Source organism: Homo sapiens, chromosome 3 (assembly GCF_000001405.40).
Source record: "Homo sapiens chromosome 3, GRCh38.p14 Primary Assembly".
NCBI classification, from domain to species: Eukaryota; Metazoa; Chordata; class Mammalia; order Primates; family Hominidae; genus Homo; species Homo sapiens.
The window spans coordinates 141885492-141912154 of record NC_000003.12 but is presented as its reverse complement, the minus strand read 5'-3'; the positions used below and the strand labels follow the sequence as shown (position 1 = coordinate 141912154).

The 26663-nt window shown below is 39.2% G+C and overlaps 1 protein-coding gene and 1 pseudogene across 1 annotated transcript in view, besides 2 other annotated features; one reads left to right on the top strand and one right to left on the bottom strand.

Moving 5' to 3' along the window:
• ATP1B3 (ATPase Na+/K+ transporting subunit beta 3) overlaps window positions 1-26663 on the bottom strand; it is a 49907-nt gene that overhangs the window by 14395 nt on the left and 8849 nt on the right. The window contains exons 2-3 of the mRNA NM_001679.4: window positions 8407-8535; window positions 4881-4988 (exon numbers count right to left, since the gene is read on the bottom strand). Of these exons, the coding sequence (NP_001670.1) occupies window positions 4881-4988; window positions 8407-8535 (237 nt within the window). The remainder of the gene's footprint in view (window positions 1-4880; window positions 4989-8406; window positions 8536-26663) is intronic.
• Window positions 6730-7230: an enhancer, noted in NCBI's record as "H3K4me1 hESC enhancer chr3:141623767-141624267 (GRCh37/hg19 assembly coordinates)". NCBI's record gives its function as "activates a minimal SCP1, AML or CMV promoter by ChIP-STARR-seq in primed H9 embryonic stem cells {active_cell/tissue: H9 hESC(primed)}" and the evidence as "EXISTENCE:reporter gene assay evidence [ECO:0000049][PMID:30033119]".
• Window positions 7231-7731: an enhancer, noted in NCBI's record as "H3K4me1 hESC enhancer chr3:141623266-141623766 (GRCh37/hg19 assembly coordinates)". NCBI's record gives its function as "activates a minimal SCP1, AML or CMV promoter by ChIP-STARR-seq in primed H9 embryonic stem cells {active_cell/tissue: H9 hESC(primed)}" and the evidence as "EXISTENCE:reporter gene assay evidence [ECO:0000049][PMID:30033119]".
• Window positions 9125-9229, top strand: RNU6-509P (RNA, U6 small nuclear 509, pseudogene; annotated as a pseudogene).

Here is a 26663-nt window from a genome sequence, read left to right as displayed (position 1 = left end):
TTACTGTGGGACTATGTACTCATTTAAAAGCAAAGAATGATTCAGGTATTTTGTGGGGGTAGAGATAAACTTTATAACAAAACAGCATCATGACATCCAACACTTTGCAAAAAAATAAGCCCTTCACCAATTTCCCCAAGGGCTTCTACTGCATAGACTCTGTTGGTATAGGTCAGTTCATCAGTGACCTTGCTTTTTTATTATGCTGACTTCCACTTCCATACTATTAAGTGTAAGGAACTGTGTGATGACCAGTAAGATTATGCAGAAGGCATGATGGGAACATAGAAAGGTCACTGACCCCAGAGTAACCAAGGAGCCCTATGCATCTGAAGAACGCCTAAAATAAGAAAGACCAAAGGCCGAGCGCAGTGGCTCATGCCTGAAATCCCAGCACTTTGGGAGGCTGAGATGGGCAGATTACTTGAGGCTAGGAGTTTGAGGCCAGCCTGGCCAACATGGTGAAACCCTGTCTCTACTAAAAATACAAAAATTAGCCAGGTGTGGTGGCGCAAGCCTGTAATCCTAGCTGCTTGGAAGGCTGAGGCATGAGGGTCGCTTGAACCCAGGAGGCGGTGGTTGCAGTGAGCTGAGAACAAGCCATTGTACTCCAGCCTGGGCAACAGAGTAAGACTGTCTCAATGAAGAAAAAAAAAAAAAAAGACCAAGATAACTGGAGGAATGAATGACCCTAAAGGAAAGAGATAATTGGAACAAAATAAAACTTTTTAAGTCCAATTAGTATCTGCAGGAAAAAAAATAGAGAAGACATTATTTTTTAACCAGATATATTATAGTATCTTTCAAACATGAAAAAGGAGGGCATAAGGATTGACAGCAGTCGAACGTTTTAAAAACCAAAAAGGAGTTGAAAATTAAAGTAAACCCCCAGAAAGTCTAATTAAGTAAAAACAAAGTAAGAGAAAAACAAGAGGTCTAAGACCCAACAAACAGAATAGTTCTAGAAAGAAAAAACCAGAAAATTGAGTTGAGGAAATTATCAAAGTGGTAACAGAGGATAATTCCCCTGAACTGAAGAACTTAAGTCTTCATCCTGAAAAACCTGCAGTCAAGTCTCAGCAAAATACTTTAGAGACAGAAATCCAGATAGAAATTTTAGAATCCAAAAGAGATAAAGAAAATTGAAAAAAAAAATGAAAAACTTTCAGAGAAGAGAAAAGGCAAATTACAAAGAACTGAGTTCTATATGGAGATAAACTAGCAAATATAAAGGCAGAAATAAGCCATTTTCAGAAATAAAAGGGTTCAAATTTACATTTCAGGTGTCTTTTCTTATAAAATTACTTGAGAATGTACTCCATCAAAACTAAGGAGTAAATTAAGAGAAAAAATAAAAATAATTAAAAAAAAGGGGGGGGCAGGGCAAGAGCCAAGAAACAGTGGGTCCAACTAAAGAAAGTGGTAAAAGGAAGTTCCCCAAAGGACAGTTGGGAGTAAAAGGCTGATGTAGAAACAGTAGAGTGCAGCAGGAGGGAAAGGGCTCCAGGAAGGAGTTTTCCAGAAAAGAGACTCAAGAAAATACCTCAAATGATAGTTTACAAATAAGGAAGTCAGAAGAGAGTATCTATAGATGATAAAAGAAGATATAAAGACCAAGTATAAAAAGGCAACCAATAATGAAACTAAAAATAGTAAATCAATTATTATTGAGTTGAGAAAGGAGGGAAGGTCTGAGACATGTGAACTAAGAAAATGTATAAAAGTGATAAATAATAATTAATAAAGAAAAGTGATAATGTAGAAAAGTAAAAAGTCAAGAACCAGCAGGAAAAGTGTAATATTTATAGATATGGAAGAAAAACACCGTAAGAAAAAGTTCAGAAGCATGAAGTTAATTCCCTATCAAAAACACATCCAAAGGCCAGGTGCTACTGTAACTCACGCCTGTAATCCCAGCACTTTGGGAGGCGGAGGCAGGTGGATCACTTGAGGCCAAGAGTTCAAGACCAGCCTGGGCAACATAGCAAGACCCCAGCTCTACAAAAAATTAAAAAATTAGCCAGGCGTGATGATGTGAGCCTGTATTCCTAACTACTCAAGAGGCTGAGGCAGGAGGATCACTTGAGCCCAGGAGACTGAGGCTGCAGTGAGCTGTGATTGTGCCACTGGGTGACAGAGAGAGACCCCATCTCAGACAAATAGACAAAGGAAAGAAAGAAAAAAGAAATGTGTCCAGAATCAGACTATTTTTCACAACCTTCATTGCTCTCTCCCTTGCCAAGCCACCATCTCCACTTACCTAGATTATTGTAATAGCCTAACTGGCTTCCCCAATTCCCCCCTTCTAGTCTAGTTTCAAAGAGAAGCCTGCAGGATCCTTTAAAAATTTGAATTAGATCATGTTATTGTTCACTGCTTAAAATCCCTCATCATGGTCACTGTAAAAGCCAAAGAACTTAACAATGGGTTCTAAGGACCTACAGTCTGGATCTCCTTTAACTCCCTAACCTCAGTCTCCTACTGCTCTCCCCTGGCTCACTCCATTCAGCCCCTCTCACTTCCTTGATGAATCTTCAACACATCAGCACCATAAGCCTCAGGGCCTTTGCACCTACTGCTTCCTGTGCTGGACATTTCCAGGGCTAGTTCTTTCACCTCCTTCAGCTCTTCCCTCAAGGTTCCCTTTCCATAAGGCTTTCCCAGACCACTCTGCATGTAAAAACCACAATCCTTCCCAACTTACCCTATCTCCTTTTTCTGTTTTATTTTCCCCCTCAGGATGTACTATCTTCTAATTCACCATGAGTCTAAGCTCCAGAAAGACAGGAATTTTTCTTCTGTTCATTGCTGGAACCCAAATGAGTGCCTGCCACAAAGCAGGCCCTCAAAAAATATGTCAATAAATTAATAGGACTTCTGCTGGAAGGGAGGAGGGCAGGGAACACTTCATTGCAGACCTTTTAAAGCTATTAAACCACGGATAATACTTTCACAAAAGTCTTTTTTAAATAATGAGTACATATTTAACTGTCAAGGAAAAGAGACTTAGGAAGACAGCTAGTAGATAATGTGGGATCAGAAGCAGCTTTTGGTTTAAGATAGGAGAGAGTTGAAGATTTTTTCAAGTTGACAGGAAGGATCCAATACAGACAGAAAGGCTAAATACACACAAGAAGAGAGAGTACACAGTATGTTTCTGAGACACTGAGAGAGGATGAGATCCAAAGCAGGAGTGACACAGGTGGCCTCAGGTGAAAGGAAGGGCAGCCCCCAGTCAGAGCAGGAAGAATGTGACAGACAAAATGGCTGCCATTGTAGATTTGTTTTACTGGTAATGGGGAAACTGGAGGAGCTCCCATCTGAGTTCTTCTATTATCTCTTGAAGCAAGAAATCAGGTTATATGAAGAGAGTGAGTTGTAAGGAAAAAGGTAAGGGGTTAGAGGCTTGAGTGAAAGTTGGAAATAATCCTTTCAGAGAATTATCCAGAGAAATTCCATAGGATTACCAGGCAGTTAAGCAAGTCCATTTGAGGGAGGTGCTCAAGTACTCACAGTGCTAATTAGTCCTGCTCAGTATCTGCTCAGGGGCAGGGGCACAGAAGGATGAGCTACATCCAGTAATTATATGGCTTTATCCAGGAGTGGGGTACTCCCACAGGGTGTGACATGAAGACTGAGAGGTCTGGGATTTTAGAGCACCAGTAAAAGTAAAAATGAAATAACAACCATGGAATTAAGCTACATAAAAGGGAAGACGGGGTGGGAGATGAGATAAAGTAATGTTCTAGGGAGCAGTTGCAGGTGTCTGTGGCTGAGGAAGAGATGAGCTGATCATGAACCAGCAGGCCAGGACATTCGATGATTACTCATGTGACTGTTAACACCATTCACATAAATGGCTCGGCCAAGCAAAACAGGAGGAAAAACTGGGCTAGGATGGCTATCAAAGAGCGTTACAAACTGGTAACTTTGAAAAACGGATGTATTAAAAATCAGACACAGACATAACTTTAAAATAATAAACATAATTTCCCATCCCCCAAGCAAGCACTACATTGGAAACCTGCACGTTGTGCACACGTACCCTAGAACTTAAAGTATAATAAAAAAAAAAAAAAAAAAAAAGAATGCCTGGCACAAAAAAAAAGATTCTTCCTTCTCAATAACTATACTGACCTATTTCAAATTCAACATAAATGTATATCAGCTACAAAAAAAAAGAAATAAAATAAAATGGCAAAAAAAAATCCAAGTCCTCAGAGACACTATTTCATAAAATATAGATTTGCTCTATTAATTAAAATATTTAGTTTTAATGCAGAATAAATGTTACATTTCAAGAAATTTAGTGTCCTTATTATAAGACAGAAAAATCAAATCTACTACCCATGAGTAAGCCCCTGTGTCTTTCTATAGTTAGAACAGTCTCACAAGTAATTATAAAATGCACTTGCTCAGTTGTCTGCTTAACAGAAGGAAATAGAAGGTAATACACATTCTAAGAATGATGTGTCTAAATGTAATCACAACTTGGGACTCTTTTTTTTTTTTTGAGACGGAGTTTCGCTCTTGTTGCCAAGGCTGGAGTGCAATGGCGCAAACTTGGCTCACTGCAACCTTTGCCTCCCAGGCTCAAGCGATTATTCTGCCTCAGCCTCCCGAGTAGCTGGAATTACAGGCGCGTGCTACCACGCCCAGCTAATTTTATATTTTTGGTAGAGATGGGGTTTCACCATGTTGGCCAGGGGTTTCACCATGTTGGCCAGGTCCAAGACCTGGCTCCTAACCTCAGGTGATCTGCCCGCTTCGGCCTCCCAAAGTGCTGGGATTACAGGCGTGAGCTACCGTGCCCGGCCCACAATTTGGTACTAATTTCTATAACTAAAATCTCTGACCTTACTCTAAGAAAACATACTCACGTTTTAGAAACTTCTTAAGGTCTTCAATGTACCCTGCATACGAAGTTGGATCAGACCTACTGAATGTATATTCCAATGCGGTCACTGGTTTTGGAAAAACCATGAGTCCTATAAAGACATAAAAGGGAGAGATTATCAAATTTCCTTCTCTTCTTTTCCTTCCTCTTATCTCTAAAAAGCAGATCTCAGCAAATTACATGGAAAATTGTGTTGACAGTATGCTGAAACTATCAAGAACTTCCCAATTCTAATTATGAAGGCATAGACATCTAAAATTAAAAATAACTCAAACCTTCAAAACCATCTCAGACATTACCGATTAGAAACTGTCCCTAAATTTGGTTATCTACAGTTAATTATAATCTTCCTTTTTAAAAGATGCAATTTTACTTTGAACTTTCTATATGCATTTTTAAAAAATCAAATAACATTTTTAGGTTTTGTCAATGTGCCATTAATACAAGGAAAAAAATTTGAGCAAATCAAAGCCTACGTACTTTTGTCATTTAAATTGTATGGAAACATTCATAAGACAGCTAACTCCTTTTCAATGAAAAAGGTCTATGCATTTTAAACTTTATGGCAAATATTCTTCCTTCAATAGCAGATATTGCTCTGTAATTAAAATGTGGTTTTCACATACTGAATTTGGAGTATAACCACCAACAATTTCCTATCAGAAGTTGACACCCATGTAATACAGACCATGTTGCTTAAGCTTACTAATGAAGATAAGGCAAGCAATCAGGCTTCCAACTTTAATGTAAGTTTTCCTTGTTTAAAAAGCATTAGATCAGCTGCGTGCAGTGGTTCACACCTGTAATCCTGGCACTTTGGGAGGCCGAGGCTGGCGGATCACTTGAGGTCAGGAGGTCGAGACCAGCCTGGCCAATATAGTGAAACCCCATTTCTTCTAAAAATACAAAAATTAGGTGGGTGTGGTGGTGCATGCCTGTAGTCCCAGTTACTTGGGAGACTGAGGCAGGAGAACTGCTTGAACCTGGGAGACAGAGGTTGCAGTGAGCCGAGATCGTGCCATTGCACTCCAGCCTGGGCGACAGAGCGAGACTTCGTCTCAAAAAAAAAAAAAAGCATTAGATCTAGATTAATTCAACCTTGCACATAGGCTTTAAAACAATCCTAAAATTTTCTCTAGCCTTCAAACATTCCCATATTTAATATATCACACATGTACATATAATACATATTATATGTATATAATATACAACACATAAATACATATTATATATGTATTACATGTACATGTGATATATTAAATAAGGAAATGTTTAATATGTCCCATATGTAATATATATGTATTATATGTACATGTGTATGCATGTATATTTATTTAAACTAATGATACTTTAAGTACTAAAATAATCGACAAATAATTTTAAGAAACTCAGTTTAAAAACTGTGTACTTAAAAATATTTAACACATATGCTTATATATTTCATGCAATTATAAACAGAGTTCAGTGTTTTTGAATAGATCAGACTATGTTCAATGGTAAGTCACATCACTTAAATAGCAAGTAAAGAATAATCTTAGAATTAGTCTGAGGTAGAAAAAAACAGTGCTACAATGAGAGATGAAGGAAAAGTAGCATGGAACTAATCTCTGACACTTGCTCCAATACACTAAGAGTTTTAAAAGAGTTATTCAAGACATTTAGACTAAGATTAGCTGTAAACAAAAGAAATCATTAGAAAAAAATTGTTCTAGGAAAAAAAATGGTTGAGACAATTAGTTCAGTTTGGCTGGTGATATAGCTCAGAAGTCTATACAGTGAGCAAGGATCTAGATAAGGGCACTTCCATCTCAGCATTATTGGCATTTTGGGCTGAATAATTCTTTGTTGTGGGGGTTGCCCTATGCACTGTAGGATGTTTAGCAACATCCCTGGCCTCTATTCACAGTACCACCTCTCTAGCTGTAACAACCAAAAATATTTCCAGACGCTGCCATATGACTCAGTGGTTGAAAACCACTGCTCTAGAGAGAAACCTGCTAGACTCCCACCTTCCTGGCCCGATTCCCCACTCTCCTGCCCTCTAAATCCCACTCCTCTAGGACTGAACTTTCTTCTTTAGGTAGAACCTTCCCTTCTCTGTCATCTATAGCAGTTAGTTTACAGTCTTTGGAATTATACACACTGAAGTTCTGCACATTACTGTTTCTTACTTTTCTAATTATCAGCATCTGAGGACAAGGGTCATGTCCAGTCACCAAGGGAGAGCTGGCATTCAAAGACTGTTTAGGCCAGGTGTGGTGGCTCACCCCTGTAATCCCAGCACTTTGGGAGGCCGAGGCGGGTGGATCGCCTGAGGTCAGGAGTTCGAGACCAGCCTGGCCAACGTGGTGAAACCCCGTCTCTACTAAAAATACAAAAAATTAGCTGGGCGTGGTGACACATGCTTGTAATCCCAGCTCCTTGGGAGGCTGAGGCAGGAGAATCGCTTGAACCCGGGAGGCAGAGGTTGCAGTGAGCCGAGATCACACCATTGCACTCCAGCCTAGGCAACAGGAGCAAAGCCCTGTCTCAAAAAAAAAAAAAAAAAAAAAAAGACTGTTTAAAAAGAATAAAATCAGGAGGTAGAAAATGTGGTTTAGATGTTTCAGTTTTTTACTGCATACATTCTCCTGTATAATGAATTTTTTTTCCAGAAGAAAATCAAGAAGAATTAAACATATGAAGAGTATATTCATTTTGTTCTCTATGAGGTATCATTATTTAACAACTTACCAATTTCATAACTAACCATTTAGAACGACAAAGTATGTATTTTATAAGTCCAAAGCTCTAACTGAAGCTAGTGCCAAAATATATACCTTAATTACTCAAGGCAAAGTAAAACTGCTCTACGATACTCATAAGTCACTCATAACTATAACTATATTCTTCAAACGTGGCTTTTACTAGAATTCTCAATATTCATTTGCTTACTTCTGACAAAAAAAAAAAGAAACCGAAACAAACAAAACAAACCCACTCAAACTCTCAAGATTTATCAGTATATAAATGTGAAGGTCTTTAAATCAGTATGTAAATATTAAACAACAACAACAAAAATTAAAACCTTCACATTACTCAGCTCCAAGGTTTAGCTATCTTCTATCTGCTATATAAAACAGATTTATGGTGAAGATAAACTATAACTCAATTTTGTTAAAAGCCGTAACCACTGCCAGGCACAGTGGCTCACGCCTGTAATCCCAGCACTTTGGGAGGCCAAGGCGGGGCAGATCACCTGAGGTCGGGAGTTCGAGACCAGCCTGACCAACATGGAAAAACCCTGTCTCTACTAAAAATACAAAATTAGCCGGGCGTGGTGGCGCATGCCTGTAATCCCAGCTACTTAGCAGGCTGAGGAGGCAGGAGAATCGCTTGAACCTGGGAGGCAGAGGTTGCAGTGACCCAAGATCATGCCACTGCATTCCAGCCTGGGCAACAAGAGTGAAACTCTGTCTCAAAAAAAAAACAAAAAACAAAAAACAAAGTCATAACTGCAAGATAATTACCTGGGCTAGGAATCTGGTCACGGTATTTTGGAACCTCATCGTTGAGAGTCTGAAGCATAACCCACATCGTGAATGAGAAGAGTGCAGCCAGGAACCCATAAAAAACTAGGTAGAAGAGCAAGATCAAACCTGTAAAAGAAAATAAAACTTATGAAATGTGCACGTGCGTGTGTGTGTGTATGCATGTTTGGCCAGGTTAAAAAACAAACCAACTGTTCTTGCAAGGGTACGATCCCAAGCTTTGCCATGCACATAGCCAAATATCCTCATATTCAGGACACATAAATTTGCCCAAGCAAGGGGTATTTCAGCAGACAGCACCCACCCATCCCATGACCCCTCCTTTTCCCTGGTATTTCCAAGTTAAAGCAGCTTCCACCATTCATACTCTGGTTCAAAATCAAAGCTTTAAAATTCCAGTACATAGGGGAATGTTTCCCAAAATGAACTTGATGCCCTCTAAAAAGATACAAGATGGTTTTAGGTAAACAAAACCCCCAATATTTACATGATCCTTTAAGTGGCGAATATAAAAGAATTAGTACATGAAACGCATATTTCACAGACAGTAATTATTTGCTTAAATTTAAGTTTTAAAAAGTGAGTTAATGGCTCCCACCTGTAATGCCAGCACTTTGAGAGGCTGAGATGGGAGGATCGCCTGAGCCCAGGAGTTGGGACTAGCCCAGGAAACACTTTGTCTTTACAAAAAAATTAGGTGCTCACTTTGGCAGCACATATACTAACAGTGGAACGATACAGAGAAGATTAGCATGGCCCTTGTGCAAGGATGACATGCAAATTTGTGAGTCGTTCCATATTTAAAAAATTAAAAAAATATATATTTTAAAAACTGAGTTCATTGAAAGAATATCAGGAAATGTGCAGATAAGGCCAACTTATGAAGACAGCACTCAATGAATAAAGTTTAGGACACACTGGTCAAATGGCAGGGCTCGTGCAAAAGTGAAAAAAGGACAAGGTCAGAAACAAGCCCTCTGATCAATGGAATTTCATAGCTCTACTGCTAAGCACAAAGCAAGATTTGGGAGACACACGTTTCAACATTAAGGGCTTAATCTCTTTCCTTTCACAATTTGGGAACACTAAGATAGATCTATCCTGAACCAGTGATTTACTTTGGGAACACTTAAAATCAATTATTTTTCTCAAATGTCTATATTCAAAGTTCTAACATCAGAAGTGGCTGCCAACAAGTATATTAGAATACATTGGTAAAGTCACTTGTATTTCAAGGTTTAAAAACTGATCAAAGATTCATTTCTGTAATAATATATTTCTGAATATATTTTCCCCCCAGGGAGTGGCTCCACAACTTTCTTCTGATTCTCAAAAGATCCCATGACCCCAAAACAGATTGTGCTGAAAGCTAGATAACTTTTATTTCTCAACTGCAAGGCAGGAATCACCCCCAACCCCCTTTTTCAAGTAAAGGGGAAATAGTTAAAGCAATTTCATTTTATAATTTAGACTAGCATTCTACCCCTCCCCCCCAATTACCAGGTGGCCAAAATAAGGATGGAGAGGACAGAAGAGAGGAGAACAGGATGTCACCTTCAGACAGCATCACTTCCCTACCACATACTGCGATCCTGTTGCAGAAAAAGAAAAGACCAATCTCAAAGAAGTAAACAGTTTGCTATAGAGGGAAATGAAACACACAGAAAGCCCACAGGCCAGTTTAATAAGATACAGAAGAGAAATTCTTTGAGATCTAGGTGTCTGCAGGAACGAAGGGATAAAATCCTCTACACCAGGGCTGACAGAAACTTAAATGTAATGAGTGTGGCTGTATTCCAATAAGGTTTTGCTTATAAAAATAGGCAGACTGGGGCCACAGTAGTTTGTTGACCCATGCAGTTGACATTAAAGTGGAGATGTCTGAAACAAAATTGCTAAGAGTTTAATTATTTAGCAGTGTTTTTAAGTCATCTTAAAATATTCTTGTTACAATACTGTTTTGAACATTTTGATTTTAAATTTCTAGGAAAATAATGTAAATTAAATTTACAAAATAGTTATAAAGCAAATAAATATATAGCAGATATGAACAAACTATATCCAAATCTGCTTTCTAAGGAACTATTACACAATGAAAATAATGAGTATAAAGAATTACATTCATACAATATATACACAAATCAACAGCTATGTCCCAAATCTGATGCCATATACTAGTGGCCATTAGAAACAAGTAAATAAGTTATTTCCAGCAGTGAAGTGAGTTTTCCTTACTTGAACAAGATCCTTCTGCCAAGAACCAAATCTAATTTTTAAAAACTTAAACTAGTCAGTCTCACATATAAATATACTTTATCAACCACCTCTTCCCCCTAAAAGAAAAAACAACAGAAAATAAAAACAGAAGTTGTAAATTGCTGCTCTTACCCAGGTGTAAAATGGCAGTTAAATTAGTTACTCAGATGTAGTTTGCTGATGGGGCTCTAAATGGCGGCGTCCTGACTTAGTCATGGATAGTGTTCATGGAACCTATTCAATGTGCCATGCCCGCCTCAGTGCTACTTGATGTAAGCAGAAAACAGCAAATACAGCCTAAATAGTACCTATCATATTACTAACGTTCCCTAGCTAGTTTAAAATCTTTCAAGAAATTTCCTTATTACCCAACTAAAGAAACTAACATGGGCCAGGTGCAGTGGCTCACGCCTGTAATCCCAGCACTTTGGGAGGCCAAGGCGGGCAGATCACCTGAGGTCAGGAGTTCGAGACTAGCCTGGCCAATATGATGAAACCCTGTCTCTACTAAAAATGCAAAAAATAGCCAGGCGTGGTGGTGCACTCCTGTAATTCCAGCTACTTGAGAGGCTGAGATGGGAGAATTGCTTGAACCCAGGAGGCAGAGGCTGCAGTGAGCCGAGACTGTGCCACTGCACTCCGACCTGGGTGACAGAGAGAGACCCCTTCTCAAAAAAACAAAAACAAGAAAACAACCAGACAGGCAAGAAACCTGGCAAGACTTAGGAACCACCATGTCATCCAGGGGAAGGAGAAACGGGCCCTGTCCAGCTCTTCTGCCTCAACCACACTGGGCGTACAATTCAATTCTGGCACCAACTACCCCATGCTACGGGCTCAGTCCTCCATAGAAATGCTGCTGCAGAGGTCCTCCCACTACCCACACTTCTGACCAACTAGTAACTAATACAGGAGGTTTCCACTGCACCCTCAAGTTTGTTCACTAGAATGACTCACAGAGCTCAGGAAAGTAAGTGCTCAAATTAGGATTTCAGTTTTATTATAAAGGATACATGTAGAATGGGGTCTGGGAGGCAAGGCAGTTTCTGTGTCCTCTCCTTGAGGAATCAGGGCTATCTCCCTCCCAGCACATGTGTTTCCTAACCTGGCAGCTCCACTGAACTTCAGTGTCCAGAGTTTTTACTGGGGTTTCATTATGTAGGTATGATTGACTAAACCACAGGCCACACAATATAGCTCAGTCTCCAGCCCTCTTTCCTGCCCTCCTTGGAGGTCTGGCTAGCTCAAAGTCCCAACCATGTAGGGACTTGGTTTGGTCTTTCTGGGGGACCATGCTCCATCTTGAAGCTATCTAGGGACCCACTGCCAGTCACTTCATTAGCATAATAAAGACACTCCTACTACTCAAATTCCAGGGTCTTTAGAAGCTCTGTGCCAGGAACCTGGAAAAAACATCAAACAAAAAAAAAATTTTTTTTTTGAGACAGGGTCTTTCTCTGTCACCCAGGCTGGAGTACAGCGGTGCAATCAAAGCTCACTGCATCCTCAAAATCCTCGGCTCAAGTGATTCTCCTGTCTCAGCTTCCTGAGAAGTTGGGACTACAGTTGTGTGCCACCACACTCAACTGACACTTTTTTTTGGAGATGGAGTTTCTCTCTTGTTGCCTAGGCTGGAGTGCAATGGTGTGATCTCAGCTCACCACAACCTCTGCCTCCTGGGTTCAAGTGATTCTCCTGCCTCAGCCTCCTGAGTAGCTGGGATTACAGGCATGTGTCACCACACCTGGCTAATTTTGTATTTTTAGTAGAGACGGGGTTTCTCCATGTTCATCAGGCTGGTCTCGAACTCCTGACCTCAGGTGATCTGCCTGCCTCAGCCTTCCAAAGTGCTGGGATTACAGGCGTGAGCCACTGCATCCAGCCAACAAATTCTTTATTATGCAACACCAGCACACATAATCTGGACACAGGGAAAAGTCACTGGGCTTCATGAGGGCCTGGAAATATGCCCCCTCAACACATGACTAGACCCTGTGATCTTACTCTCAACCTCTGCACACTTTCTAGCTATCTTCAGGGACCTAGATGCTAGAAAGATTGGGCCTCTCAGAAAATACTGATGACTAGCAACCATTTCCATTTGGTAAATAAACTAGCATTCTGTTTATAGTTTAAAACATTTTAAAGCAGAGACATGTATAATTTCTAAAAAATCCATTATATGAACAGGTGCAAGTTTATAATCTTTTGTATATTTGAATTTTTAAAAACAATACTGATTTTTAACAATATTATTCGCATACCATTCACATATGTAAAGTGTGAAGTTTACATTTTATATTCAGAGTTGTATAAGCATCACCACAATAAATTTTAAAATATTTTCAACACCTCCTCCCAAAACTCCATACCCATTCCCATTCCTCTCCCTCCCTGCACCCAGTTCCTGGCAATCACTAGTCTACTTTGTCTCTATAGATCTATTTTCTAGACATTTCCTAGAAATGGAATCATGTAATACATGGCTTTTGTCACTGGCTTCTTCCATGTAAGGTGTTTTCAAGGTTCATTTATGCTACAGCATATATCAGTACTCCATTCCTTTTTATGGCTGAATAATATCCCACTGTATATGGATATACAATATTTTATTGATTCATTAATCAGATGATGTGCATGTGAGTTGTTTATATCTTTTGGCCATTATGAATAATGTTATAAACATTCATGCACAAGTTTTTGTATAAATAAATGGTTTCATTTCTCTTGGGTATATACCTGGGAGTCAAACTGCTAGGTCATATGGTAACTCTAGCCTTTTGAGTAACTGGTAGACTGTCTTCCAAAGCAGTTTCACCATTTTACACTCCTACAGCAGGGATCCAATTCCTCCTCAACCTCATTAACACTTCTTTTACTGTGTTTTCATACAGCTATCCTAGTGGATACAATGTAGTATCTCTTTGTGGGTTTAATTTGCATTTTCCCTAATGGCTAATGATGCTGGGCATTTTTTCATAAACTCATTGGTTATCTGTATATTTTCTACAGAGAACTGTCTATTCAGATCATTTTCTCATTTTTAGATTTGGTTATCTGCCTTTTTTATTAAGTTCTAGAAGTTATTTATATATAGATACAAGCCCCTTACCAAATATATAATGTGCAATTATTTTCTCCCATTCCACAAGTTATCCTTTTACTTTCCTAATAATGTTATTTAAGCAAAAAAGTTATTAATTTTGATGAAGAACCACTTATCTATTTTTTCTTTGGTTGCTTGTGCTTTTGGTGGCATATCTAAAATAACACTGACTAATCCAAGGTCATAAAGACTTGCATCTATGTTTACTTCTAAGAATTTTATAAATTAGCTCTTAAGTTTGGGTCTTTGATCCATTTTGAGTTAATTTTTGTATATGGTTTGAGGTAGGGGTCCACCTACATTGTTCTGCATGGAAAGATCCAGTTGTCCCACTACTGTTTAAAAAACTATTTGTTGGCCAGGCACAGTGGCTCATGCCTATAATCCCAGCACTTTGAGAGGCCGAGGCAGGCAGATCACCTGAGGTCAGGAGTTCGAGACCAGCCTGGCCAACATGGTGAAAACCAGTCTCTACTAAAATTACAAAAATTAGCTGGGCATGGTAGCATGTACCTGTAATCCTAGCTACTTAGGAGGCTGAGGTGGGAGAATCGCTTCAGCCTAGGAGGCAGAGGTTGCAGTGAGCCAAGATTGTGCCATTGCACTCCAGCCTGGGTGTCAGAGTGAGACTCTGTCTCAAAATAAAACAAAAAACAAAAACAAAAACCCGATGAACATGTACTGTTTTAATAAAATGTATGCACATATATGTATGTATACACACACTCTCACATTTTATATAATTAAAATTATTGTAATATAAAAGATTAAACAAGATTAAATAACCTGCCTAAGATTAACCTACCAGTAAAAGAAATAGACCAGTATCTCTCCATGTCTGGCCTGCTCTCCCAGGGAGTCTCAAGCTCTATTGTCTTTTCTATTAAAACTCCCATTCTCTAAATAAAAATGTCTCATTCAAGTATTCTGTGTTACTCAGGGTGATAGAAATTCACATGTGAATAATATCTGCTGCTTCTCTACAAGAGTTCAGTTATTACAAATGACAAATATGTAAACAATGAATTATAGATACTGGATGCTAGGAAAAAAAACAAAAAGAATCCTCTCTAGCAGGAAGAGGAAGAAAAGGGACATCAGAGAAGGCCACCCAGAAATAAGGTAGTTGGCTCACCAAAGATGGAGAGGAGGAGGGAGCTCTGGGTCAAAGACTAGGTGATGAGATGGAGTACCACAGCAGGAGCAGTCAGGTGAGCACAGCTTTGCTTCTCTCAGTATGCATGAGCCCCTGGTGCCAAGCAACTAGCAACAGTAGCAGCAGCATCTGCTTGAAGTGGGAACAGGGAGCTTGGGCTGGAAAAGTGGGCCATGTTCTGAATGGGTTGGTGAAAGGTTACAGGAGCAGACAGCCTCCACACCCAGGCTGCTCTTGGCTATACAGGCTACCTCCATCCCTGAATGTTGTAATAGGAAAGTCTAAACACACAGAAGAGGAGCACAAAACCAATAATTATCACACATTCAAAATAAAACTAATCCATAAAGAAAAGTACCAAACTCAACAAAGACAGCAATGCCTGAAAACACTGGGCTGTATCAGCAAATAGAACAAAGAAAAATAAGCATAATTAAAACAGTAGAAGGTGAAGGATAATTTTTAAAAATTAGATATCATATTCTGATTATTGAAATAAAAAACTTAGTAGAAAAGCTTAACTGAAGAAGAATCAAAACTGAAGAAGAACCCAGACAGTTATGAAAATGAAAAAGCAAACCAAAGACTGGGAAAAAATATTTGCAAAACATAAAATAAATGACTCACTCCTATCTAGAATATATGAAGAACTTTTACAACAAAACATATTACTTATTTTATTTTAGAGACAGGGTCTCGTTCTGCTGCCCAAGCTGGAGTGCAGTGGCACAATCAATCATAGCTCCCTGCAGCCTCAAACTCCTGGGCTCAAGCAATCCTCCTGCCCCAGCCTCCCCAGTAGCTAGGACTACAGGCACATACCACCGTGCCCAGCTAATTAAAAAAAATTTTTTTTGTACAGAAGGGGGTCTTCTTAAGAAAATTTTTTTTTTTTGTAATTTTACTAGAGATGGGGTTTCACCATATTGGCCAGGCTGTTCTTGAATTCCTGACTTCAAGTGATCCTCCTGCCTCGGCCTCCCAAAGTACTAGAATTACAGGCGTGAACCATCATCCCCAGCCGAGAAGGGGATTTTGCTCTGTTGTCCAGGCTGCTCTCAAACTCCTGGACTCAAGTGATCCTCCCACCCTGGCCTCCCAAAGTGCTGGGGTTAGAAGTGTGAGCCACCGCACCCAGTCCAAGACACATTTTTTGAAGCAGGCAAAAGATCTGAACCGAAACTTCACCAAGATGTAAGGATTGCAAAAATAAGCCCATAAAAAGTGTGTTCCAAATCATTAGTCACCAGGGAAGAGAAATCAAAACTATAATGAGCTCCACTACATACCCACCAGAATGCTAGAAATTTTAAAGACTGACCGTACCATGTAATGACCCAGAAGTGGAGCAACTGAAACTCTCACATCCTGCTGGTGGGAATGTTTTTTGTTGCTGTTGTTGTTTTTAAAAAGAAAAAGAAAAGTTTGACAATTTTTTGAAAAGTTAGCAACATGCACACCTACCAAAAGATCCAGCCAATCTACTTCTAGATATTTACCCAAGAAAAATAAAAGCCCATGTTCACACAGTAGGGAAATGTGAATGTTCAGACACTTTATTTATAATCACTGAAAACTGCAAACAACCCAAATATCCACCAACAGTTGAATTAATAAATTTGGCTATATCCATACAATGCAATACTATTCAGCAATAAGAACTGTGGATACACATGGAAACACAGATGGATCTCAAAATAATTATGCTAAAGAAAAAAGAGGCGGGACGCAGTGGCTCACGCTTGTAATCCCAGTACTTTGAGAGGCTGAGGCAGGTGCATCACCTGAGGTCAGGAGTTAGAGACCAGCCTGGCCAACGTGGTGAAACCCAGTCTCTACTAAAAATACAAAAAATTAGCCAGGCATGGTAGCGGGCACCTGTAATCCTAGCTACTCGGGAGGCTGAGGCAGGAGAATTGCTTGAACACGGGAGGCAGAGGTTGCAGCGAGCTGAGATCACGCCACTGCACTCCAGCCCGGGCAACAGGGTAAGAGTCCATCTTAAAAAAAAAAAAAAAAAAGAAAAGAAAGAAAAAAGAGACAATAACATGCACAGGAGCTGTCATCTCCTATGAGACCCTCCCCCCAAAAAAAACATAAAGCATGATTCCACATACAGACATACACCACGTAACATTTCAGTCAGTGACAGACTGCATACACAACAATAGTCCCATTAAGATCATAATAAAGCTGAAAAATTCCTATGGCCTAGTGATGTCGCAACACAATGCATTACTCACGTGTCTGTAGCAATGCTGGTATAAACAAACCTACCAGTCACATAAAAGTCTAGTATGCAACAACTGTGTACAATGCATAATACTTAATAATGATAATAAACTGCTATGGGTTTATATATTTACTATGCTATACTTTTTGTTGTTATTTTATAGTGTACTCCTTCTACTTACAAAGTTAACTGTAAAAAGCCTCAGGCAATCCTTCAGGAGGTATCCAGAAGAAGGCATTGTCATCACAGAGGACAGCCCCATGCGTGTTGCTGCCCCTGAAGACCTTCCAGTGGGGCAAGAGATGAAGGTGGAAGACGGTGATACTGATGATTCTGACTCTGTGTAGGTCTAGGCTAATGTGCATGTTTGTGTCTTAGTTTTTAACAAAAAAGTTTAAAAAGTTAAAACTTTTAAATAGAAAAAATGTTATAGAATAAGGATATAAAGAAAATATTTTTATGCAGCTGTACAATGTGTTTGTGCTTTAAAAGCTAAGTGTTATTAAAAGTATATAAAGTCGCTGGGTATGAAGGCTCACACCTGCAATCCCATAGCTTTGGGAGGCTGAGATGGGAAGATTGCTTGAAGCCAGGAGTTCGAGACCAGCCTGGGCAACATAGCAAGACCCCATCTCAATTAAAAAAAAAAATTGTAAAAAGTTACAGTAAGCTAAGGTTATTACTGAAGTAAAAAAAATTTTAATAAATTTAGTGTAGCCTAAGTGTACAGTGTTTATAAAGTCTACAGTAGGGTACAGTAATGTTCTAGGCCTTCACATTCACTCACCACTCACTCACTGCAACTGTAGTCCTGCAAGCTCCATTCAAGGTCAGTGCCCTATACAGGTATACCATTTTTTATGTTTACATGGTATTTTTACTGTACCTTTTCTATGTTGAGATATGTTTACAGACAAATACTTACCATTGTGTTACAATTGCTAACAGTATTCATCCAGTAACATGTTGTACAAGTTTGCAGCTAGGAGCAACAGTCTATACCATATGGCCTATATGTCTAGAGGGCTATGCCATCTAGATTTGTGTAAGTCCACTTTATAATGTCTGCACAACAATGAAATCAATGAACACAGCTAAGCACATTTCTCAGAAGGCATGGCTGTATTTAATACAGACTGTCAAAAAGCAGATTTTTGCTTGGAGCCTGGGAAGGTAAGAACAGAGATGGGTTACAAAGTGCCAAGAGGGAATGTTTGGGGTGATAAATGTTCATTATCTTGATTACAGTGACAGTTTCATGAATACAGCATATGCACACACATATACATGAGTGTATACCAAAACTTCAAATATGTGCAGTTTATTGTATGTTAATTATACCTCAATAAAGCTGTTAAAGACAAACAAAAACTTAACCTCAGGAGAACTGGTCAAGCTGAAGAAAAATTCAGTGAGCTAAAGATCAAGTCAGGTATTCTATGACAGTGGGCTAACAGAGAAGGAGTATATGAAAAATTGTTGAGACATTGGGGAGAGAACCAGAAATACAAACAAATCTAATAGGAACTCCACAGGAAAAGAGGGTGGGGCAAGAACTCTCAAAGAAATAACAAGCTTGTGTCTAGATTGGAAATGTTAAAAAATACTGGAAAACATCCTATACCTAGAAATAAAAAGGTAAAATTTTAGAACATCAAGAATAAAGAGAGCTGGGTGTGGTGGCTCACGTCTGTAATCTTAGCACTTTAGGAGGCCAAGGCGGGTGGATAGCTTGAGATCAGGAGTTCGAGACCAGCTTGGCCAACATGGTGAAACCCCGTCTCTACTAAAAATAAAAAAATTAGTCAGGTGTGGTGGTGCGTGCCTGTAATCCCAGCTACTCGAGAGGCTGAGGCAGGAGAATTGCTTTAACCTGAGAGGTGGAAGCTTGTGGAGGCTGCAGTGAACCAACGGCACCACTGCACTCCAGCCTGGGTGAGAAAAAGAAAAAACTAAGGCCAAGAGGAAAACTACATAAGGCAATGGTGAGCAGAGATCTGCTAAGACTTACTGGTAACATCTAAGATGTTTTAATTGCTTTTCCTTATCAATTCTGAGGAATAAGTTGCATATAGTAAGTTTCCTCCATTTCAGGTATACAATTCCAGTTAGTTTTGACCGTTGTATAATCTGTGAAGCTACCGCTCCATTAAAGATATAGAACATTACCATCATGTCCAAAACGTTCCTTGTACCCCTTTGCAATCTACACACCCTTCCCCAGGCAGCCAATGATTTTGTCACTGTGTTTGTATTTTACATAAGGCTAAAGTTTTAAATTTGTCTATATTCGATAACTGTTTTTTTTTTTTTTTTTTTTTTTTTGAGACAGTCTCACTGTCACCCAGGCTGCATGCAGTGGCTCGATCTCCACTTGCTGCAGCCTCTGCCTCCCAGTTCAAGCAATATTTGTGCCTCAGTCTCCTGAGTAGCTGGGATTACAGGCGTGTGTCACTGCGCCCAGCCTATATTCAATAACAATTTGTAATTAAAATGTCAATAATATGGCAGGAATAATTTAAAAGTGGTAATAATAAAGGACATTATCAGAGTCAGTTAAAAAATCCACTTAATGCTGTTATAGAAGACAATCTAAAATTAAACACCAATGGTTGAAATAAACAGGAAAATAAAATAGGTCTTGGCTAACAAAAGAAATGTAGATATGGCATTATTACTGTATGCAAACTAGAATTCAAGTAAAAAAGCATTTGCAAGGGTGAAGATACTGTGTATTTAATAAAAGTAAATAAAAACACATAAAGAAGATACAGCATAATAGCCATGAACCTCTGTGATGCTAAGTGGCTTCAAATGATTAAAGCAAAAGCAGAGTTATAAAATTCACCACAATCATGACCAGAGATGTTAACATACCTCTCCAGAAACCCACAGATTGAGTAAAGGACAATAAAAAGGGCAATATGTATTTTTAAAACACAACAGTTACCTAGTATACGTAGAACTTTGTAGTCACCAAGAAATGTACTCTCTACAAACTTGGAGCACTGTCCCCAAACTGACCATGACTTACATTACAAAAACAAAACACAATTCAAAACTAAAAAACATTAAAAAAAAAAAAGAGGCCACATTCTCTAACATCTCAAAATAAATACATTAGAAATTAACAATACAAATTTAGAAAGTTGTATCTCAATCCCTGAATTAAAAAAACACAGATATCCAAAAATTCAAAATAATGTAATCAGAGCAGAACTCAAAGTAAAACCCATAGCCCTAGATGCATTCATTAAAACATCATTAAAATATACGACTAACAAAAAAGCCAGATTTTTAGCTCAAGACTAAAATAAATACAAAGAAAGTAGGAGAGATTTAAGATGAAAACACAAGTTAATGGACACAAAATGTAATGAAAAACCACACCAAAACCATTCAATACATTTAAATAATAAATCAACTTGATCAAAAGTGTTTTCAATTAGTAAATGTGAAAACAGATGAAATATAAAATTTTTTAGGAAAATTAAAATGTTCAAACCATGAATTTTTACAAAAAAGAGGTTTACCCCAGTAAAAGACACCAAGTCTAAATGGCTTTAGTTGGTTCTCTCAAAATGGAAAGAACAGACTATTTTCTATACATAAACTATTCTTTGTGTATGCTCTGTAAGTTACCTTAATGGTTTTTATAAGGCTTGCACTATTTGGATACTAAAACTGAACAGGTAGTATTGACACAAATTTACACATGTATTTTACTTTACAATCACGAATACAGAGCCTACTATATAGTGTGATGATACACAGGAATCAAGATACAGATCAACAAAACAATATCCTAAAAAGAATCCATATAAAATGGAATTTTTCATTTAACAAAGTTGCCAATTCATATCATTGGGGAAATGATGGATTATACAACATATAGGGATAAGTGATTAAGAAAAGAACATAGAAGACTGTTAAATCTGTGATAATGTTCATTTAAAACCATTACAATTAAAAAAATAAACCAAAGTAAGAGTTAAGAGACAAGAGAACAAAAAGATGAGTCCATAAAGAATATTTACAAGTATAACAAAGGCTTAATATTCAAAGTGTATCAAAATTTCCTTTAACCAGTAAGAACATAACACAGACTGGGGGCCGTGACTCACCCCTGTGATCCCAGCACTGTGGGAGGCTGAGGCAGGCAGATCGCTTCAGCTCAGGAGTTTGAGACCAGCCTGGGCAACATGGCAAAACCCAGTCTCTACTAAAAATACAAAAATTAGGTGGGCGTGGTGGCTCACGTCTGTAATCCCAGCACTGTGGGAGGCAGAGGTGGGCAGATCACTTGAGGTCAAGAGTTCGAGACCAGCCTGGGCAACATGGCAAAACCCAGTCTCTACTAAAAATACAAAAATTAGGTGGGCGTGGTGGCTCACGCCTGTAATCCTAGCACTGTGGGAGGCTGAGGCGGGCAGATCACTTGAGGTCAAGAGTTCGAGACCAGCCTGGCCAACATGGTGAAACCCCATCTCTACTAAAAATACAAAAATCAGCCGGGCGTAGTGGCGGGCACCTGTAATCCCAGCTACTTGGGAGGCTGAGGCAGGAGAATCACCTGAACCCAGGAGGTGGAGGTTGCAGTGAGCCAAAATCATGTCACTGCAGTCCATCCTGGGTGACACAGCAAGACTCCATCTCAAAAAAAAAAAAAAAAAAAAAAAAAAAAAAAAAAAGCCCCACAAAAAAACAAACAAACAAAAATCAAAAAATTAGCCAGGTGTGGTGGCATACACAGGTAGTCCCAGCTACTCAGGAGGCGAGGCAGGAGGATCGCTTGAGCCTAGGAGGCAGAGTGAGCCGAGACCATGCCACTGCACTCCAGCCAGGGTGACCGAGCCACACTCTGTCTCAAAAAAAAAAAAAAAAAAAAAAGAAAAAAAATTAGATTACAGGCATTTTTTAAAAATTAAAATTGAGCAAATATAAAAATATTGAAGAAATTACAAATTAAACCAACCAGATAGATACCAGCATCCTATCAAAATGGAAAAAACTGCACAATATTTTTGTATGATTGTACAATATTGTTATAATATCCAGTGCTTGAGGAGAAAAGGTACTTTTATCCACTGCTGGTGGGAGTATAAACTGGTACAGCTTTTTTGGAGAACTGTATATATATATATATGTATATGTATATACACACATATATGTAGATATACGTGTGTGTGTGTGTGTGTGTGTGTGTGTGTGTGTGTGTGTATATATTTTTTTTTTTTTTTTTTTTTTTGAGACGGAGTCTCGCTCTTTTTGCCCAGGCTGGTGTGCAGTGGTGCAGTCTTGGCTCACTGCAACCTCTGCCTCCTGCGTTCAAGTGATTCTCTTGCCTCAGCCTCCCAAGTAGCTGGGATTACAGGCACCTGCCACCACGCCCAGCTAATTTTGTATTTTTAGTAGAGATGGGGTTTCACCATGTTGGCCAGGCGGTCTTGAACTCCTGACCTCAGGTGATCCGCCTGCCTCGGCCTCCCAAAGTGCTGGGATCACAGGCATGAGCTATTGTGCCCACTCAGAACAATATATTCATAAAAATAAATACATATTATAAACTGGCAATTCCATTTCTCAGTTTATCCTAGATAAAAAGTTGCACTGCAGCAATTTTTAAGATAAAAATTGGAAACAATTTAAACATTCATCAGAAAGAAATATATATATTCTATAGTATAATCTCCACACTATGGAATATTATGTGATATGATTTGTCACTGTGCTCCACCCAAATCTCATCTCAAATTGTAATCCCCACATGCTGGGGGAGGGGCCTGGTGGGAGGTGACTGAATCATGGGGGGCAGACTTCTCCCTTGCTGTTCTTGTGATAATGAGTTCTCATGAGTCTGGTTGTTTGAAGGTGTGTGGCACTTCCCCCTTGGCTCTCTCTCTCTCCTGCCACCATGTAAGAATAAGAAGTGCCTTGCTTTCCCTTTGCCTTCTGCCATGATTGTAAGTTTCCTGAAGCCTCCCCAGCCATGTGGAACTGTGAGTGTATTAGTCTCTTCTCATGCTGCTAATAAAGACTTATCAGAGACTGGATAATTTATAAAGGAAAGAGGTTTAATTGACTCAGTTCCACATGGCTGGGGAGGCCTCACAATCATGGCAGAAGGTGAATGAGAAGCAAAGTCACATCTTACATGGCGGCAAGCAAGACAGCGTGCGCAGGGGAACTCCCATTTATAAAACCCACCAGATCTCATGAGACTTACTCACTATCTCAAGAAGAGCACAAGAAAGACCTGCCCCCATGATTCAATTACCACCCACTCAGTTCCTCCCATGGCATGTGGGGATTATGGGAGCTACAATTCATGATGAGATTTGGGTGGGGACACAGCCAAGCCATATCATGTGAGTCAATTAAACCTCTTTTCTTTATAAATTACCCAGTCTCAGGTAGTTCTTTATAGCAGTGTGAAAATAGACGAATACATTATGCTATGAAAAGGAATGACACAAACCTATATATACAGCCAAAACATATTAAGTGAAAAAAAATCAAGTTCCAGAACATATGAGTTTCCTATTACTCAGGTAAAGGTAGACAAGAACCTACTTATTTCTATATACTCCACATATATACAGAAACATGTTTATATACATATATAAAAATGGTGCTGAAAAAAGGACTGACAGGAAACCTGATAGTCATCTGTAGGAAACACTCTGAGACTGGTGAAGGAGGTAGAGAGAAACACACGAATGTATTCATATTCTCCAACACTCAATTAGGAATGTTTACCCATGCACAGAAAAGTTGAGTGAAACCTAAAAGTGAACACCCATAAACCCATCAAGATTCTACAATTAACATTTTACTGTATTTATCTCATTTTAAAGATTCAAGTTGCAAACATCAGAGAACAATTCAGCATGCGTATTAACTAAAATTGAGAAAAAATGCATATTCAGTGAAATACACAAATCTCCAATATACCACTTAATGAGTTTTGACAAATGCATTCACTTATGATCCAAAGCCCTATTCAAGATACAGAACACTTATCATCACCCTGAAAGTTCCGTCACGTCCCTTCCTAGTCATTCTCCCTGTCCACTGCCCTAAAGGCAACCACCGTTCTGGGTTTTTTTTTCCAGCATAGGTAAGAATTGCTTATTTTAGAATTTCACATAAATAAAACCATATAGTATGTACTCTCTTTGGTAAGGCTTTCGTTCGCAGTCAACCTGTGAGATTCATCACATTTTGTACATCTGTAGTTCATTCCTTTTTACCATTGAGTAGTATTCCATTGTGTAGACATGCAAGTTTATCTATCGCCTAGCTGATAAAAACCTGAACTGTTCCCAGTTTGGAACTATTATGAATAGGGCTACTATGAATATTTTTGTACAAGAGCATTTTGTGAACGTATGTTTTCATTTCTCTTGGATAAACACACCTAAGAGTAGAACTGCTGGCTCAGGGGGTGGGTATATATTTACCTTTATAAGACACTGCCGGACCTTTATGGATATGCCACATATTACCTTTTAAAAAGCATTTACACACTTAACGGGGGTTACCCAGGGAAGAAGCTGAGGATGATGTTGGACTTACTGATATTCACATCTGTACTGTAAAAATAATGGTGTTACTTTTGTTATAAGAAAAGAACAAAGCCAAGAGTCCACATCCCATTTAAGACCAGTTCAGATTTCTTGAGTCAGACTACACTGACCACTCACCAACTCTAACTTCTAAAGCAAACCACGGCTGCTGCTATTTTTGTAAATAAAATGCTAGCCATGCCCGTTAGTTCTATGGCCAATTTCAAGCTACAGTAATGGAGTTAGGTAGTTGCAACAAACACCGTGTGGTCAGCAAAGCCAACAATAACGTGGTCCTTTGAATCTTGCTGCCTCCCATTCTAAAGCATTTATATAGGTAGGCTTTGTTTGTAATTTCAAAGTTACATTTGAAACTATCTCATACAATGTCTTTTTTCTTTTTTTTGAGGTATGGTCTCACTCGGTCAACCAGGCTGGAGTGCAGTGGCACAATCATGGCTCACTGCAGCCTTGACCTCCCAGGCTCAAGTGATTGTCCAGCCTCAACCTCCTGAGTAGCTGGAACCAAAGATGTGTGCTAACACAGCCAGCTAATTTTTTAAAATTATTTTTTGTAGAGATGGGGTCTCCTTATGTCATCGAGGCTGGTATTGAATTCCTGGCCTAAAGTAGTCCTCCCATCTTGGCCTCCCAAAGTGCTGGGCTAAAAGGCATGAGCCATCACATCTGGCTGAACTTTTTTCTTTTATAGAGGAAACAAGGCTAAGAGATCTTGAGTTATCTAAGCTTTAACAGAGATGTGGAACTAGAATTTAGGTCTATGAGTCCTATCTGGTCATCTTCTCAGTATACTGGTGTATTCTGAGATGCATCAAGTAAAAATATATAAACCTACCAGTTCACTTTTTATTATGATGCCCTATCTGGAAACTTTAAAAATTAATTAGAAATGTAGTAGAGCAGAGCCATTGTGAGCTGGGTGATAGAATTACACCTTTATATACAGATACAACATTTTAGATGTTATAGGAAATAAGTGGTATTATTTCCACCTGAGCATATCAGAGAAGGCTTATGGCAGAGCCAGCACTGAAGCTAGGTCTGTGAAATAAGGAAGAATTCGTGTGCACAGAACGAAGAGATTGGGGAAGGAACAGACAGGGGTTCCAGACTAAGGGTCTTAGATACATCCGTGTAGCTACAACATAGGGTGCATAATGGGGTGTGGGCAAGGTGGGAAACGATGGGTTACTTAGGGTTGGAAACAGCTCCACGCCCACATACAATAAACCTGGAATGCCAGACTCTCTGGAACTTACCTAAACTTTCTGGAAGCAGTAGGGACCCAAACACAGTTTTGGGGTACAGAAGGTAATATGATCAAAGCTGCTGCCTTAGAAATAACCCGACAGCAGTGGGCTACATTGCTTAAGTCACAATGATTCTCACTGATTCTTTGGATCTTACTGGAGATGCACCAGTAGTTAAGACCCACTTTCCCCAGGGTCAACAACACTACAGGGGTGTGTGTGTGTGTGTGTGTGTGTGTGTGTGTGTGTGTGTGTGTTTTAACGCAGCAGATAAAAGCTGGAAAGCCAATCGTCTATTTGAAGCTGGAACAACTGTGAAACAATTACAAAGATCTTCATCTGGTGCTTCAAGTTTTTAAATCACAGAGTTTATAAGAAAAGGCATGCGCTGGTCAGGCACAGTGGCTCACATCTGTAATCCCAGCACTTTGGGAGGCTGAGGCAGACAGATCACCTGAGGTCAAGAGTTCGAGATCAGCCTGACCAATATGATGAAATCCCATCTCTACTAAAAATACAAAAATTGCCAGGCATGGTGACATGTGCCTGTAATTCCAGCTACTCGGGAGGCTAAGACAGGAGAATCACTTAAACCTGGGAGGCGGAGGTTGCAGTGAGCCAAGATTGTGCCATTGCACTCCAGCCT